Source organism: Homo sapiens, chromosome 6 (genome assembly GCF_000001405.40).
Source record: "Homo sapiens chromosome 6, GRCh38.p14 Primary Assembly".
NCBI lineage: Eukaryota > Metazoa > Chordata > Mammalia > Primates > Hominidae > Homo > Homo sapiens.
In genome coordinates, this window is record NC_000006.12 from 157,716,218 (window position 1) to 157,734,776 (window position 18,559).

The 18,559-nt window shown below is 45.4% G+C and overlaps 2 annotated features.

Annotated features, from left to right (window-relative positions):
* Positions 15,717 to 16,238: an enhancer, noted in NCBI's record as "NANOG hESC enhancer chr6:158152966-158153487 (GRCh37/hg19 assembly coordinates)". NCBI's record gives its function as "activates a minimal SCP1, AML or CMV promoter by ChIP-STARR-seq in naive H9 embryonic stem cells {active_cell/tissue: H9 hESC(naive)}" and the evidence as "EXISTENCE:reporter gene assay evidence [ECO:0000049][PMID:30033119]".
* Positions 16,496 to 17,021: an enhancer, noted in NCBI's record as "H3K4me1 hESC enhancer chr6:158153745-158154270 (GRCh37/hg19 assembly coordinates)". NCBI's record gives its function as "activates a minimal SCP1, AML or CMV promoter by ChIP-STARR-seq in naive H9 embryonic stem cells {active_cell/tissue: H9 hESC(naive)}" and the evidence as "EXISTENCE:reporter gene assay evidence [ECO:0000049][PMID:30033119]".

Here is an 18,559-nt window from a genome sequence, read left to right on the forward strand (position 1 = left end):
AGGCAAGGTAAGAAGAAGGTGGCTAAGGCTGCCTCCAACCCAGACACTAGGAAACATGGGGGAAGAGAGCAGGGGACCCAAATGTTTAAAAAACCATCATGCCGGCCATCACGTTTTAAGCAACTACTTAAGGCCAGGGCTGTCTTAGGTTCTTTTTTCATTTATAGTCACAATAGCCCTAGGTCCACTGGATGGACAAGAAAGCTGTGGCTGCAAGACTGATGCTGCTTGCCCAGGTCTCACACCTGGAGTGGCAGGGCTGGGCTCATGTTGAGGCAGCCACGTTCTTCCTGTGGCACTGGGAGGCGAGCCGTTGTCTGCTACGGGGAGACCAGCAAGAGAGAAGTGGTCAAGGTCTTTTCACAAGGAGGGAGGGATGCTTTTAGCATGAGCGATTTTACTTTGAAAATGTTCAAGCTTATATGGTTTTCTAGGGAGGTGTTTTGTTTTGTTTTTTTCTTAGTGCATTACATTCTAAATTCAATGCCCTGGAAGATACTGAATAGATGGGACAAAATCCATTAGGCTGGATGATTTATGGCTTTTCAGCATTTAGCAGGAGTGGCTTTCAATGTGAAATTGGTTGCGTGCAGCAAACCATTTTAGAAATTTGTCTCACGTTGCCCATAAGTGATTCATGCCATGCTTCCCATGCCTCTTTTTGGGAAAAGGGGAAACAATATCAACACAAAGCAAATTCAGTGTCCAGTACCTCTGTCCTTTGCGAACCCCTGCTCAGCAATCCCATGCCCGTCTGTCATCTCCGCACTTGCTGGGCTGCATTTTACTGGCCAAACAGCAATGGCTGTGACACCTGATCCATCTAGCCAGCGTTCGTCCCTTGGTTTTTTTGGTGTTTGTTTGTTTGTTTTGAGACAGGGTCTTGCTCTGTCACCGAGGCTGGAGTGCAGTGGTGCGATCATAGCTCACTGAAGCCGCAAACTCCTGGCTCAACAATCCTCCCATCTCAGTCCCCCAAGTAGCTGGGACTACAAGCATGCACCACCACACCAGCTAATTTTCATTTTTTGTAGAGATGAGGGTCTGGCTGTATTCCCCAGCCTGGTCTAGAACTCTTGGGCCTCAGACTCCCAAAGTGCTGCTATTACAAGTGTGATCCACCCCACCCAGCCTAGCTAAGTTACTCTTTATCATTCCTGCTCCTTTAAGTGAAAGAAGCTTGTGCTCGGCTGGCCCGCCCTGCTCGGGTCAGAGTGCATGCCTGCTCTACCTCTCTTCCAGCCTGAGGAGGGAGAAGTACCCCCTTCTCCCACACCACAGTGCCCACCCCCTGCTCAGAGCCATGGCTCCACCCTTATTTTATTTACTGCCTGGTGCTCACTAGGTAGGAAGCATCCAGAAGGAAACCAGGTTGTAAGGAACAGTCTTGCCTCTGCAGCTCCTAACACCAAGGTCTTACGCACAGGAAGTGCTCCATAAATGTTTTCTTGAAAAAGTAGGTCACGTGCAAGGAACTGAGGCTGAGCCGGGCGTGTTTAAGGATGGGCCTTCAAAGCATAGCTATAGAAATGCCACTCAGGTTTGGCATGAGCCTCTTATTTTTTTCAAAGTCTTTTTTAGTTTTATTAAATGTTTTATTTTTATGGATTTAGGGGTACAAATGCAGTTGTTTTACATGAATATATTGCACAGTGGTGAAATCGGGGCTTTCAGTATGCTCATTACCCAAATAGTGTACAATGAACCCAAGAGGTGATCCCTCACCCCTCCCACCTGCCCACCATTTGGAGTCTCCAGTGTCTATTATTTCCCTCTGTATGTCTGGGGGTACCTACATATAAGTAAGAAAGTGAAGTTTTGGATTTTCTGTTTCTGGGCCATTTCACTAAGGATAATGGCCCCCAGTTCTATCCATGTTGCTGCAAAAGACAATATTGCATTCTTTTTTATGGCTGAGTTGTATTCCATGATGTATGTATGTACCACTTTTTAATCCAATCATCTGGTGATGGGCACTTGGGTTGATTCCAGGACTTCGCTATTGTGAATACTGCTACAGCTGACAGTCCAGGTGTCTTTTTTATATAATGATTTATTTTCCTTCAGGTATATAACAACCAGTAGTAGGATTGCCAGATCCAAGGGTAGTTCTATTTTTCCTTCTTTGAGAACTCTCCAATTTTCCACAGAGGTTGTACTAACTTCCATTCTCACCAACAGTGTATGAGCGTTTCATTTTTCCCACATCCTTTGGGGTCCTCTTTGAGCTCAGATCCTATATCCCTCTTTCTCTATGCATTCTAAAAAGACACCATGGCAAGAAACATATAACAGGCTTTATCAGCATAGAGAAATTATCCATCTATGGTGAGTGTAGAAGTCTTGAATTAAAAAATAAAAGCTAGATTGGTTTGGTGTAATTCATCCTAGACATGTGTGGCCAACTACTTTACGGAACAAGTGAAACAAACATGAAATTGCTTTATTTTTCTCATAAACGTCTAGTCCCTTAGGGATCCTATTCTGATTCCATCTCTTGGATGACACAGGGTTTTTTTTTTTTCAAAGTCTTGTCCAATCCATTTTAATTCACTTCCATTGCACATCCTCACCTCCTAGCAGAAGGAGTAGTAGGTCCCAGCCTCAGAGCCTTGGTTTGCAGAGGGGTGAGAGTCTCTGCCCAACTCCTTCTTCCTCCTCTCTTTTCTCCAATGTGCTGTGAAGGGAAGAAGGGAGGCAGAGGAGATCAAAGTCTTTATTCACGCAGTGCCACTGGGGACTTCCCTTGGCCATTGTTGCCTGCTGGGTGGCGGGCCCTTTCTGTGGAAGTTTCTTAGGGGCCTCCCCAGCCACAACTCCCTGATGAGGCAGTGTGCTCTGGCCCGGCCCACTCTGACCCCATGCCCAGGTCCTGCCCGCAGGGTGCATCCCACTGCAGGGTGCCTCTTGCTCCCAGGATAATGGCAGAAAAGCTCCCGAACCTCCCAGAATGTCCTCAACCCACCATTGTGCTCACTTCTAGGTGAGAGCGCAGTGGCTTAACCATGGACCCATCCTCTGCCATGTCAGGTGGGCACCCCTGGAATGATAATAAAATAAGGTTTATCCGGAGAGGCTCCAGAAGCAAGAAAATAGACATTGTCTCTACCCTTTTCCAAGCTCAGGGTAAAATGGTCTCATTCTTTCATAACAATTACAGGGTTAGCCATTATGTTAATGGAGAAGAGCCAAAAGCCAGAAAATACAAAATAACAGTCAATCCTAAAGCACTTACACATTATCTTGGAATTAAGCCAAGGACTTAAAGACAGCAGCAAACCCTTTTAAACTCTGGCAGACACATTTGGCTCAGGCGTGTCTTTTCCTGCCTCAGTCTCAGTCTTTCCTGGCACTGAGTGACGATAACTCAATTAGATGCGAAATGTGCTTAGAAGAGAACTCAGCGAAGATAGTGCTGTGACAGCAGTCGCGATTAGAGGAGAGACACACACACCGTAGCTCAGTGATGCTCAAAGGAAGGACGGTGTGAAGGTGAATTTGAGCTTCCGAAATGAATATAAAAGAGTCAAGATGGCCGGGCATGGTGGCTCACGCCTGTAATCCCAACATTTTGGGAGGCCGAGGCAGGTGGATCACCTGAGGTCAGGAGTTCGAGACCATCCTGACCAACATGGTGAAACCCCGTCTCTACTAAAAAATACAAAATTAGCTAGGCGTGGTGGCGCGTGCCCATAACTCCAGCTCCTTGGGAGGCTGAGGCAGGAGAATCACTTGAACCTGGCAGATGGAGGTTGCAGTAAGCCAAAGGTTGCAGTGAGCCGAGATTGAGCCACTACACTCCAGCCTAGACAACAGAGTCAGACTCTGTCTCAAAGTGAAAAAAAAAAGAGTCAAGACTTGAGCCTCCTCATTCTTGGATGTTCTTGAATATTCATTAGCATGTCTGGTCGCAAGGTTTGCTATATGAAATGCTACATGAATAATGAAGGATGCTGTTCTCCTTTAAAGATAAAGAGCTCTCCCCTTCCAAAACACTACATCCCTTAGAGTCGCAAATAGAAGAACCCTAATATCCTAATGTCTGGTGTTGTACACTTTGTTGATTGCAACTAGAATCCATCCTCCCCTTTCCCTTTCCTAAGGGGTTTCAGATTTTCATTTAAGTAGCCTCTCCTGCCTCATGCAGCCCATGGCTTTGGGAGAGGAAGGCCCCTCCCTCAGGAAGGCCCTGGTTAATCTAAAACAGAGAATGGAGCGATTGTATCTCACAGGGGTCTACAGTGATGGGTTTAGGCGTTGAGTATGGCATTCAGACAAATCACAGCATTGGTTCAGCAATGGCCTGGGACCCAGCTGGGCTCATGAGACACAAGCAAAGATTTGCTAGAGGAGTCCCTCTCCCTCTGAAGTGTGGATACAAGCTCTGGGACTGTGGGACAACATTGTCACCATGAGAGAAGGCAGGCCAAGGGTGACGCTGACCCTCTGAGAGGCAGAGCAGAGAAATAAGGAGAATCCAGGGTTGTGAAGACACCTCACAGCCCATTACCCAGCTGACTGTGAAGCTGCCCTGCCTGTGGCCTCTTTAGGAAGGCGAGCTGGAGATCCCCTTACTGCCAAACCAGTCTGTTTGGGGTTGTTTAACAGTATACTGAGGCAGGAGGACAGCTTGAGGCCAGGAGTTCAAGACCAGCCTGGTTGACATAGCAAGACCTTGTTTCTACAAAAACAAAAACATTGTAACTACAGTGATCATGTAATTCCTTGCCTGAACCCAGACATCTTTGAGTGAAAGGGGCACTATTAATAATTATAGCAGGGGCCAGGCACAGTGGCTCAAGCCTATAGTCCCAGCACTTTAGGAGGCTGAGGCCAGTGGATTACTTGAGGTCAGGAGTTTGAGACCAGCCTGGCCAACATGGTGAAACCCCACCTCTACTAAAAATGCAACAGGTAGCCAGGCATGGTGGCACACCCCTGCAATTCCAGCTACTCCAGAGGCTTAGGTGGGAGAATTGCTTGAACCCGGGAGACAGAGGCTGCAGTGAGCCAAGATTGCGCCACTGCACTGCAGCCTGGGCGACACAGCGAGACCCCACCTCAAAAAAAAAAAAAATTATAGCAGGACCACAGACATAAACCAGGATTGTCCCAAGCACACCGGAATGCAGCGTCATGCTAATCTTAACGGATAGGCACCATCAGCATTCTCCAGGTGAATCACCTTAAACTTGAAGAAATAAAATCAGTTATTCAAAGGAATAAAATAACCGGATTCAGGCCCTTCTCTAATTGCTCCTCCACACTGCGGCCAGAGTGATCTCAAAACCCAGATCTGATTGTCGTCTGCCCTGCTTACAATGCTACAATGGCACTGCATTTCTCTAGGACAAAGCCTCGCTGCCTTTGTGTGGCCCGGCCTGTGTGCACACTCTGCAGGGAACCCTCTTCCCCACCGCGGCTCTCTCCTCTGACCTCCCGTCCACTCCTCCCGCTCGGTGCACCTCCTCAGGGAAGCTCGCCCTTCGTCTGAGTCAGGCTGCTTTGCTGGAGAACTTCGTGGACCGAGGTTCTTTCCCTCCTTCCCGCCCGTCCTGCTCTTTAGTGCGATGCAAGCGACCAGGGATGTGTCTGTTGTTGTTCTTTGTGGTGCTAGCACCTTCCACAGTGCCTGGCCACGTAGAGATATTCAAACCATACACATTGATGGAGTCCCAGGAATGCAACAAAAATCCTCCAAGACCCGTCTTCCAAGTTCAAAGTGTCTGGGCTCAGAAGGAGAGCCTTTCTGGGTCCTCGAGGGGAAACCAGCTCTCCTAAGTCCTCCTTTGGGTCCAGGGGCTGAATCCATAGCACTTTCCCATGAAGCCCGTTCCTGCTGGGTCCCCGGTTTCCAAGGCTCTCCTGCAAGGGGAACTGGGCGCCACCGGAATTCGGTAAAACCCTCAAGTCTGATGCAGATGCTCCCAGGTTATAGAGGTGAAGTGTTTTCATGTTTTCTTCCTAAACCCTAAGCTGAAAATGGGGTGATTTTTTCTTCTATTCTCTGTCATCCAAAGGTCAAATCTGCTTCTCCAATAATTACCTTCTCTTTTTGGCCGGCAGGGTAAAAAGCACTTCTTTTGTTATCCTCATCTGACAATAAGCCCTCTAACCACCATTTCTTTTGCAATATTGGTATAAGTGCTCTAGACACAGGATGTGAGGAAAAACCTTAAGTCTTGCCTGAGCCGGTGGTCACAGATGATCTCAAGCCTGTATTCCAGAGGCCACAGGATGCTACGCCCTCTAGAATTATTTTCGGTGCACATTCACTTTTCTCTCCATGTTCTCTTAACTCCAATGATGACTGTCTGTGCCTCCACAGCCATTTTGCTCCAGCCTACAGCATTTTTAGCAAAGCGCTTCTCTGTCTTTCCTCGCCTTAAGGATAGGCAGGAGGCGGATGAATCGGAGCTCGCGTAAAGCAGAAGATGAGGTATCCTGCAAATGATCCTCACTCAGTGTTTTTATCCTGTTTTTTAAAAAGCTTTTATATCCAGGGCCAGGCACGGTAGTTCATGCCTGTAATCCCAGCACTTTGGGAGGCCGAGGCGGGTGGATCACCTGAGGTCAGGAATTCAAGACCAGCCTGACCAATATGGTGAAACCCCGTCTCTACTGAAAATACAAAAATTAGCCAGGCGTGGTGGCAGACACCTGTAATCCCAGCTCCTTGGGAGGCTCAGGCACGAGAATTGCTTGAACCTGGGAGGCGGAGTTTGCAGTGAGTCAAGATCGTGCCACTGCACTCCAGCCTGGGTGACAGAGCAAGACTCTGTCTCAAAAAAAAAATTATATCTTTTACAAAATTACTAGAGACATTTTTCAAGCCCCTTGTATGAGGACACACACACACACACACACACAAATCCTCATAAAATTCAGCACCTGAAAATATCCATCTCTCTAGCCAGTTTTCTTTAATCAAGCAATGTGAACTTCATAATCTGTCCAACCACCCTTATGTCCTGAATTAATAACTTCTAGAATGAGCATTAAATTTATCCATCTCACCCTTGACCTCTCTGCGCTCCTTCTAACCTCTATTTTCACTGACCTACTTTCTACACACTTTAGTATTTTAAGCCACCTCTAAACTCTTTTAAAAGTAGACAGGGCACAAGTGATTAAAAAAATCTTTTCTTAATAGTCAAAGTTTCCTTAATCTTAGGAAACAACATTCTCTTAACAGAGTAGTTCAGAATCACTTAAAAAAATAATGCCTGAGCCTGCGAGAGCTAAACTGTCACTGTGAACTAATAACTTCAGGTCTGTTCCACAGCAAACTCGGTTTCTTGTCATTTAAGTTTCTCAAGCTCTGGGTTTTTCCCTCCCATGCCAAATCTATCATTCAGGCTCAGCCCTTGGAGGTTTTCTTCAGGCTCCAAGAAAACCAACCTCACAGAAACTGCTGAAGCGTGGCAAGCTTGTCTTGTTCGGGTTTGGATGAATATTTTATACAAAAAACCTCTGGATATCCTTCCAAAGTTGAGCCCAAGGACTCAAGATCAAGGGAGAAAGAGGTTTAGCTCCCAATACAATCTAATAGCAAGCACATTTTAGTCTTGGGAAGCCTCAGACTGAATTAGGGACAAGGGACCAGGCTGAGCAGTCCCTCCCTTTGAACTATTTTGACTCACAACACGTCTGAGACCAAATATGTGGATTTTTTCCTTCAAAACCAGTTCCCAATCTCTCAGACACCAACTGGTTGTCCTGCAATTCAATTCCATTCTGCTGATAACTTCTGGAGTAAGCACAGACCCCACCAGTTGGGGGCTCGGCCCTGTAAGACCACCTGGATTGCATGCACCAGGCTGAACTCCAAGCCACCAGTGCTTCTCACCAACTGGCTATAAAGTGGGGAGGGGTTCCCACAATCCCCTCTGCAGGTTCAAGAATTTGCTGGAACAGCTCACAGAACTCAGGAAAGTACTTTACTTACTATTACCAGTTTATTATAAAGGATCTAACTCAGGAACAAACAAATGCATAGGAAAAGGGAGGGGGCGTGGAGCTTCCATGCCCTCTCTGAACAGCCGCCCAGCACTTCAGTGTGTTCACAACCCCAGAAGGTCCCGAGGCTGTTGTTTAGGAGTAAGTGAAGCAAAATAGCTTGGAACAGTCTGAACTATGCGAGGTATGCAAAATGTACCAGGCCCAGGGAGACCTGAGTCCCACAGCATATAGCTGTAACTTCAGCTTCTTAGATTGTAGATCAACTCTCTTCCTCCTTGTTCTTGTTCTTTAAATGACTAGGAGAGATCAGAGGCCAGACCTCCCCTCTTCCAACCACTGACCCTTCTTGTAGATTAACTGCCTCCTTTACTGTCTTGTACCTAACTTCAACCAGATGGTGCAAAAGACCCCATGACACATCTTCCATATGGAATGTGAAATATGCCTTCCCTGAAAGAAAAAAACACCTTGACTAATCAGACCATTTGTGACTACGCATTAAGCCTTGTATAGAAGGATGCTGACATTCTACTAAGCACCCCCTGAATTTGTCTATATAAATGATTCCAAACTTCCACACTTTGGAACATTGACTTTCATTCTTTGGAATCTGTGCTTCCTGGGCAGCCATCTTGAAACTTGGAGCTTGAATAAACTTTCTTTAAACTAGATTCTGACCCTTTTGATTATTTTAGGTTGACGATATCATTTTATATCAGGGACGTGAGTATCCAAGGATTTTGGTATCCTCAGGGGTCCTGAAACCAATACTGCTGAGGACATGGAGAGACATGATAATTCAGGTCTGCGGGTGATAAATTCTTTCATCTTTTATATCTTCAACAAAGTTTAGCATTCATTTCTGAAAGATGTTTTCAGTCGATATCATAAGATTCCTGGTTGACTTTTTTTTCCCGATACTTCAGATGTTGCTCCACTAACTTCTCACTTGCATTGTTTCTGACAAGAAATCTGCCATGAGTCTTGTCTTTGTTTCTCTGTACATAATGTGTCTTTTTTCTCTGGTTGCTTTTAGGATTTCGTTCTTATCACGGGTTCTGAACAGTTTGGTTGTGATGTGTCTCGTGGTTTTCTTCATGTTTCTTGTGCTTGAGGTTTCCTTGTGTGGAGCTACTTAGATCTGTGGGTTGGTTAGTTTTCAACAAAATTGCACATTTTTCAACTCTTATTTTTTCAAATATTTATTCTGTCCTTCCTCTCTCTCCTCCACTTCAGGGACCTTAATTATGGATTAAGCTGATTAAAGTTTCCCACTGATACAGAACAGCTGGGCTTCTGGCTAAACCTCAGCCTTGAGCTTGGAACTGTGGCCCTAAGTGAAAACAGCTGACCTTGCTTTTCCACCCAAAAGTTGCTTTTTGGCCTGCCACACCCCTATTCTGTGCCCATAAAAAGACTTCAGCTGGCAGAGCAACACAAGCAGCTGATGCAAGCAGTCAGGGATGCAGGCCGCCGAGTGTCAGGGATACAAGTGGCTGAGTGGCAAGCAGAAAGGCATCAACTGAATGTCAGAGATTACGGATAGACGCAGATAACTTCAGACAGTGCGGCTTCAGGGAAAGGTCGCCTTCTTCCTGCACCCTTCTTCCCATACCATCCCCTTTCCAACTCCCCATTCTGCTGAGAGCCATATCCATCACCCAAGAAAATCCTCCACATACACTACCCTTCAATCCGTTTGAGTTACCTGATTCTTCCCGAACACCAAACAAGAACCTGAGTGCCGAGAGGACAGGGGTTTGGATGCTGCCACAGGCCTGCACAGAGCCTGCTCCCACCAGAGAGGAGTGACCAGCTGGTTCCAGTGTTCATTCCCTCTGTTTCCCACGCTCACTTGCTCACACACTCCCTCTCACGAGGAGTGGCCAGCAGCAGGCTGAAGGAAACAAGCCACTCCAGTTCCCACCCACAAAGGGGGTCAAGGTCAAAGGAACTGTCCCATCTCACCACACTCAGTGATGGACCATTTATTAAATTCTTCTTTCTCTGTGTGTTTCCTGTTGGGTCATCTCCGCCATTGTCTTGAAGTTTACGAATCTTTCTTCTGGAATCTCTTCCATGGTCATTAATCCCATCCAACGTATTTTTCATCTCAGCCAGTGTAGCTTTCATCTCTGAAAGTTTATTTTGGGTCCTTTTTATATCTTCCATGTCTCTCCTTAACTATTTGAACATACAGAATACAGGTATTGTGATTATTTCAATATCCTTGTCTGCTCATTCTAACATCTGTGCTAGTTCTGACTTGGTTTTGATTGATTTAGTTTTCACCTCATTACAGATTGAATTTTTATGCTTCTTTGAATACCTGGTAATTTTTTATTAGATGTCAGACATTAGGGATTTTGCCTTGTTGAATACTGGATATTTTTGTATTCTTATAAATATTCTTGGACAAATTAAGTGACTTGGAAACAGTCTCAGTTTTGCTTGCTTGCTTTGAATACTTCTTAGGTGGGACTGAGCCATGATTAATCTAGGACTCATTCCTCCTCATTACTGAGGTAAAACCTTTCTGAGTGCTGTACCCAATGCCCAATAAGGTGAAACATGAAGTTTTCTAGTCTGGCTTATGGGAACAGGTGCTACTCCTGGCCCTATCTCACTGTTTAACTAAAATATTTAAAAACAACACAGGAGTTTAAAAAAATTCAGAACTGTCACAGGTTGCCATAATTAGAAATTGCACATGGATCTGATAAAATGTTGTTCTATCAGCTAACACTGGAGTTCCACTCAGGAAGAGGATGGACTTTGGTTTTGAAAATACCTTGAGAGGTCACTCTAGTTCGGAGGTGAGGCTTCAACAGTTTATCTGGAAGGAGGCAGTGAAAAAAGAGAGCCAAAATGGTCTGTGTAAGAGGTTAGGAGAAATCTGGGTATGGTGGAAGGAAGTGAATTAATTAAGGCAAAAGGTCGAGGGAAGGGAGACAGGAGGCCAGATTGTTCCTGGAACCGAGCCGGGTCTGGCTGTGTTTTCTCGTGGCCCAATAACGAGAAGCAGACAAACTAGGAAAGAAGGGAATTTCTTGTAGTAACCAGATACAGGGAGAAGGTCAGAGATAATTCCACTAGACCAACTCAAAGTGTTACAATTTTCTTAGTGCTTATATAGATTGGGGTCATATGCCTATGTGCAGTATCACATTCACCTAAGTCTATGGGTAACTAATTTCGTTTCAACTAGAAGATCAGAGGCCAAAAAATGCTTTCTAAGTCTGATCAAGCTGTGAGGGCCCCAGTACCTTCAAGGCCTGTCTCCTAAATTCTATTTAATGAGGACTGTGGTACCAGAGTGATTATTCCTATCTTATCTCATTTGCAGTTTGGTCCAGAGAGCTGCCTTAAACTCTCCCATAAATCTATTCAAACAGCTGCCTCAGTTACCTTGACTCATCTCAGACTTCATTAACCTGAGATGGGTCCTGGCACGAGGAGTGTAAGGCTGTCTCCATCATCTTGGCTTGCTCCAGCTTTGGGAGAAGACTGTGTAGGAAGTGTGTTTCATTTCTGGCTTTGATGTCTGGGCATCAATTTCCCTGGGTTTAATTATTAGCTTAATGTTGAGGCAGTGCTGTGGAAATGTGTCTGTGTAGCTGGGGTGCTCTGCAGGCCTGTTTGTGTGATGGTCAGGGAGAATTGACCTGCCACAGCTGGCCCAGAAGCGGGTAGAGATATAGGCAGTGAAATAGAAACTCTTCATGAGATGGACAAAAGACCGAAGCAGGGGTGTCTAATATTCAATTTTAGGTTTGATTCATATCTAACATTAGACTGAGATTCAGATGTGGTGGTATAAACCTCTCCATGGCCTCAAGTTGTCGGTAAAATTCAGCTATTTATGCAGCCTTGGTCGATGGCTTGTCAAAAAATGAAATTATCAAAATCATGGCCAGTTAGGGCAGCGAGGTGCAAGCTGGGATGAAGAGATGTTCCATTAGCTGAAACGATTTTGCAGAATCAGGATTTCAGAGCTAGGGATGACCTGGAAAAATGTAATACATATGCCCTTCACCCTATGAATCCCCCAAAGAGTTTGAAGGGAACTCTAGATCTCCAGGTACACCTGGGATGGAGGTTCAAGTCAATTTCACTCAAAACCCAAAGGACAGGGTCAACTTCAGTTGACATGTCAATTAAGTATGATTAATTCTCAAACTAGTGACACCAACAACGGGTGGTAAGCATTCAGAAGAGAGTCTGTCAGGAGGACCTGGTTCAGCTGCCTTAAACATGTGTCAGAAATCGACTTCGACCTTTGCCTTCGCATCTCCCCTTGGGACAATGGGCTTTTGTACTCCAGTGTATAAATTTATGATGTTATCTGTTCTCCGCAACAAATATGACATCATGGTACAGCCCAGAAGCAATGTTATCTTTTTCCCCCTCAAGGTTAGATTGTCCCTACCATTCCTCGCTGCAGTGGCAGAGCTGCAGAGGGATTGGCTGAGGTTTGCTTCAAGTGTCATACTGCTATTTACAGCAGGTGAAACAGTTCCTTCTAGAAGGGACCTCTGTTATCTCCCCCAGTGCCCACTGGTGTCCTAGGAAAGCACAGTTGACACTGGGCTTTAAGCAGCCATTAAAGATAACACTGGGCTTTAAGCAGCCTTTCTAGGCAGGGCACAGTGGCTCATGCCTGTAATCCCTGCACTTTGGGAGGCCAAGGTGGGTGGATCACTTGAAGTCAGGAGTTCAAGACCAGCCCGGCCAACATGGCGAAACCCCATGTCTACTAAAAATACAAAAAATTAGCCAGGCATGGTGGTGGCAGGTGCCTGTAATCCCAGCTACTCAGGAGGCTGAGGCAGGAGAATCGTTTGAACCCAGGAGGCAGAGGTTGCAGTGAGCCGAGATCACACCACTGCACTCCAACCTGGGTGACAGAGCAAGACTCCATCAAAAAAAAAAAAAAAATTAAAAATTAAAAAAAAAAGGATCTTTCTGTCTATTCATCAGTGAACCTAGGAATGCATTTTAAACTTTGCCCTTGGGTATTTTCCCTGTTGCAGATGAAGGCTATTGAGGCTATTTCTTCTTGCCGGCTTGCCTTCACACCTCCTTCAAAGGTAGTTTCTTTAAAATGTTTTATTAGAAACCTAAAGTTAAAACTTTTAGTTACTCCCAATTTTTACTGAGCCTTGAGCACTCTGCATTCACAGTTGAGGGTAGCTGCGCCTCCCACTGTCCCCACCGCGCAGAACTAGGATGTGGGTCCAGGTCCCAGCAACCCTGCACCCCAGTCCTAGAAGGTACTGCAGAATCCTTCCCTGCTTTGCCTTTATAGTTTTAAGTTGGGGACTCTCTTGAGTAGGCAGCAGAGAGCGCTGACATATATAATAGAATGTAGAATATAAAAAAGATAGAATTTCTGACAGTGCAGAATAAAAGGTGCTGAAAAAAATGGATGGTGAGTTAGAATAAAACAAAGTTGCATTCCTCACTTACTTTTTGCTTATATAAAAATCCAGGGCCATGCAAGGTGGCTCATGCCTATAATCCCAGCACTTCGGGAGGCTGAGGCGGATGGATCACCTGAGTTCAGTTCGAGACCAGCCAAAACAAAGCATTAAAAATTAAACCATAAAAGGATGAAAAGAAAATGTAATAGATTCTTCCAATAAACTGAACATGAGGAACTTAACTCCCCTTGCCCCCACTGACCTATGCTACAAGGTGGATAAGACTCACACTTTTAGCTAAGTGAAAGTAGCCAGAGACATAAAGTATGGACCACTGACATGAAATATCTAGAACAGGCAAATCTGTAGAGATAGACAGTAGATGAGTTGTTGCCCAGGGCTGGAATGGGTGTGGGGGCGGGGAGTTGGGGCTGAGAGCTAAGGGGTGCATGCAGGGGTTCCTTTTTGGAGTAATGAAAGTATTCTAAAATGTATTGTGATGATAAATGCATAACTCTGTTAATACACTAAAAGCAATTGGATTATACATTTTAAATGAGTGAACTCTATGCAGCGTGAATTATATCTTAGTATAACTGTTTTTTTTTTTTTAAAAAAAAAAAAAAAAAAGAATGAAGGAGCCAGGCGCGGTGGCTCATGCCTGTAATCCCAGCACTTTGGGAGGCCGAGGCAGGTGGATCGCCTGAGGTCAGGAGTTCGAAGACCAGCCTGGCCAACATGGTGAAATCCTGTCTCTACTAAAAATACAAAAATTAGCCGGGTGTGGTGGTATGCGCCTGTAGTCCCAGCCACTCTGGGAGGCTGAGGCAGAAGAATCGCTTGAACCTGGGAGGCAGAGGTTGCAGTGAGCTGAGATCGTGCCACTGCACTCCAGCCTAGGGGATAGAGCAAGACTGTCTCAAAAAAAAACAAAAACAAAAACAAAAAAGTAGATAAGTGAAATGAAAATGAAAACCATCCATTAGCCCTCTACCTAGAGGTAGTCACTATTGAAAATTTGACTTATGTCCCTTAGTTCTTTTTTTTTTTTTTTTGGGTCGGAGTCTTGCTTTGTCACCCAGGCTGGAGTGCAGTGGTGCAATCTCGGCTCACTGCAACCTCTGCCTTCCAGGTTCAAGCAATTCTCCTGCCTCAGCCTCCCAAGTAGCTGGAATTACAGGTGCCCACCACTGCACCTGGCTAATTTTTGTATTTTTAGTAGAGATGGGTTTTGCCATGTTGGCCAGGCTGGTCTTGAACTCCCAGCCTCATGTGATCTGCTGGCCTCAGCCTCCCAAAGTGCTGGGATTACAGGCATTAGCCACTGTGCCCGGCCTTACCTACATTTTCAAACTTTTTCTCTAATAAACAAATGTTACTTTGTCATTATTATTATTATTATTATTTCTGAGAAAGAGTCTTGCTCTGTTGCCGAGGCTGAAGTGCAGTGGTGTGATCTCAGCTCACTTCAACTTCCACCTCCCAGGTTCAAGCAATTCTCCTGCCTCAGCCTCCTGAATAGCTGAGATTACAGGTGCGTGCCACCACACCCGGCTAATTTTTGTATTTTTAGTAGAGACAGAGTTTCACCGTGTTGGCCAGGCTGCTCTCAAAACTCCTGACCTCGTGATCCACGTGCCTCGCTCCTGAAGTGCTGGGATTGCAGATGTGAACCACCGGGCCCAGCCTCTAATAAGCAAATGTTACATTAGAAGGAAAGAAGGCAGGCAGGAAGGACGGGAGGCAAGAAGGAAGGAAAAAAGGAAGGCAGGAGGGAAGGAAGAAAGGAAGGCAGGCAGGAAGGAAATATTTGGTTTCTTTTCCTAAGATGCAACAGGTGGAAACCATGATCTATGTCTGCTCATGGCTCCATGACCTCCTGCTCATTGTGTTGAAGAATGTTTCTTTTCCTTGGTTCTTACATGAGATTGGATTGGTTTCCATGTTAATTAAGAAGATGTTTGCTCTCTGAATGAGTTAACAACTTGTGAAGTCTTCATCTGACCTCCTGTAGTTCACCTGGAATTGCTCAGATCAAGTAGTGAAACTTTGGGATGATCCCCTGAAGTTCAGATCCCTTCGACTACTAAATATATTTAATCCCTCTTCTATGTGTAAGAATAATCTGCCGATCTATTACAAAAATCTATAAAGGATATCATTCCCCTCTCAAAGACCCTCTTACTCTGTCCTGCATTAAACTAGGCACTTCCAGCTTGGAGCCCAACTAGGTTTCCTATTGGAGATCTCAGTCTGATGGATGGCAGTCTAATCGGAATGATCCCTGTCCTCATGGAGCGCACAGTGCTGGGGAACATCCTGGGACTGCTGGGAATGCCAGTCAGGGAAGCAGGAGCCCAATCACCAAAGGCCAAGTCCCCAGGTCAACAGTTTGAACTCCTTCCTTTGGCAAGAGGGCAGGGAAGAGCCCTGTTGAGGGGTTTGAGGCAAAAAAGGCCTATTGATAGTTGAAAGACCACCTTGGCTACCAGGTAGGAAGGAATTTGTGTGGGAGAGCCTGGAGGCAGGGAGGGCGGCCCCTTAGTAGTTCCAGCCTTGAGGTCAGATTGCAGACACTACATGGTCATTGGCTGTAAGCCTCTAGTTCCTCCCACTAAGAATGCAGGACATCACAGAGCCATTCTCACAGCACTCCACGCCTTCTAACATTCTGCCTCAGGCTGCATTTACTACCACATCCCAGCTGGCTTAGGCCTGGGTCACCTGCTCAGCCCCAGCAGGTTGTGGATAAATCCCTATTTGAAGAGGTTCTTGTTTCTTTTTTTGACCCCTAATTTATTTCCTCATCTTTATTAAGGTATACTTGACAATTGGAAATCATATATATTTAAGGTATAGAATGTGATGACTCAACATACATTTACATTGTGAAACGATGGCTACAGTCAAGTTAATTAACACATCCCTCGCTTCCTACCGTTTCCATTTTGTGTGTGTGGTGATAACACTTTAGATCAACTCTCTTAGCAAATTTCAAGTATACAGTAGTGTATTGTTAACTATAGTCACATTGCTGTATATAAGATCCCCAGAACTTATTCATCCTGTTTAACTGAACTTTCCTACCCTTTGTGGATGTTTTGTTTTGTTTTGTTTTGTTTGTTTTTAGAGAGGAGGTCCCACTATGCTGCCCAGGCTGGCCTTGGACTCTTGGACTCAAGTGATTTTCCTGTCTCAGCCTTCCAAATAGCTGGGGTTATACGCATGAGCCACTGTGCCCATCTTCTTTGTACCCTTGGCCCAACATCTCTCCATTTCTGCCATCCTTGCCCCCGCCCTTGGCAACCACAATTCTACTCTCTGCTGCTGTTTGACTTTTTCAGATTCTACATTTAAGTGAGATCGTACAGTATGTGTCTTTCTATGCCTGGCTTATTTTATTTGGCCTGACACCCTCTAGGTTCATCTGTGTTGCTGAAAATGGCAGGCACAGCTCCAGCCTTCTGTGGCCACCTGAGGGGACTTCCAGCGTTTCCCAAGGTTCCGACTGTCCTAGGATACTCTCCAAGTACATTGTTTTGAGCAATGGCAGAGCCCAGGCTGCAACACTGGCTTACAAAAATTTGCCTGGTGGGGCCGGGCGCTGTGGCTCACGCCTGTAATCCCAGCACTTTAGGAGGCCGAGGCAAGTGGATCACGAGGTCAGGAGATCGAGACCATCCTGGCAAACACGGTAAAACCCCGTCTCTACTAAAAATACAAAAAAATTAGCCGGACATGGGGGCGGGTGCCTATAGTCCCAGCTACTCAGGTGGCTGAGGCAGGAGAAGGGCATGAATCCGAGGGGTGGAGCTTGCAGTGAGCTGAGATCACGCCACTGCACTCCAGCCTGGGTGACAGAGCAAGACTCTATCTCAAAAAAAAAAAAAATGAAAAATTTGCCTGGTGGAAGGTGAAGGCTTTCACTGCCATTCCAGGTGGAAAGGCCTCCAAGATGACTTAGAAAATTTCGTGTTGGACAGGCTTGTCCTAGGAGGCCCCAGCTTCAGCTTACAGGCCTCTACACGGCAGCTAGGACCATGGTGAGGGACGCTTCTAAATCTTTCCATAGGCTCAGAAAGAGAGGGATGCCCTCCCCAGATCTCCTCAGCAAGCTTGAGATGGTCCCTGCCTCCAAAGGGGACTTACAGTATTTCAGAAGGTTCACCTCTGAAGGGACCCCAGGTGGTACAGACATAGCCCAAGACCAGTGGTGTGCATTTATGACTTAAGGACAACCCTCCGGTTATCATCCTGAGATGGGACAGCCTTTGTGACAACCCTCCGGTTATCATCCTGAGATGGGACAGCCTTTGTGAGGGGAGAAACTCTCTTCAGTGTTGTATAAAGACATGACAATCGTCACCCTTGGAAAGAACAAAAGTAAAAATGGTGATGAATAACAATAGAAATGGTGATGATCATCGTAATGTAAAAGATAGTATTATTTTAAGATAATATAATAATATTTTAGGATAAGAATATTGAACTAGGGAGATGAAAAATAAATACATAAATGAATGATGGAAATACATAAATGAAGACGGAAAACAAATACATAAATCAATGTCAGGGGTCACCTCCAAGTGTCAGGGTTACACTCAGTTTAGGATTTATGTGTGTGTGTGTGTGTGTGTGTGTGTGTGTGTGTGTGCTTTCATGATTTCTTCATTCTCTGCATTGAGTGTATATGATTGCACTAATTGTTGAGGAAAGGCATATTTTCCAAAGCTATTTTAAATTGTTTGCTCTATTCTAGAGAAGGGAACCAAAATATCCCTCTCTAAAATCCTGGGGATTGGATGGCAGGATGGCAATTTACAAAGACAAAGGTCTTCTTGTCCTCCTCCCTGCCTTTTCCACCTAAAGACAAGGGCCTTCACAACATTAGCTTCTCAGCTGGGAGGCAGCAGCACCCAAGGACCTAGGAGCAGACTTTACTCTTTCCATAAATTTATCCTCCTGCATTTTCCTGCTTTTTGGAAGCCTGAAGATGCTGTCTTCTTTGTCTTATCATTATAGGATTTATGGCTCTTTGTTAAAATACTATTTGAGCAAGGTCCGAAGGCCACTGCCTTGAGAGAGAAATACTCTTGAACAAAGGCCTCTCCAGCGTTATGGGTACAGCGCATGTCAGTAGACTTCGCTGGTTTTTCCCTTTTTAATCTGGCTTT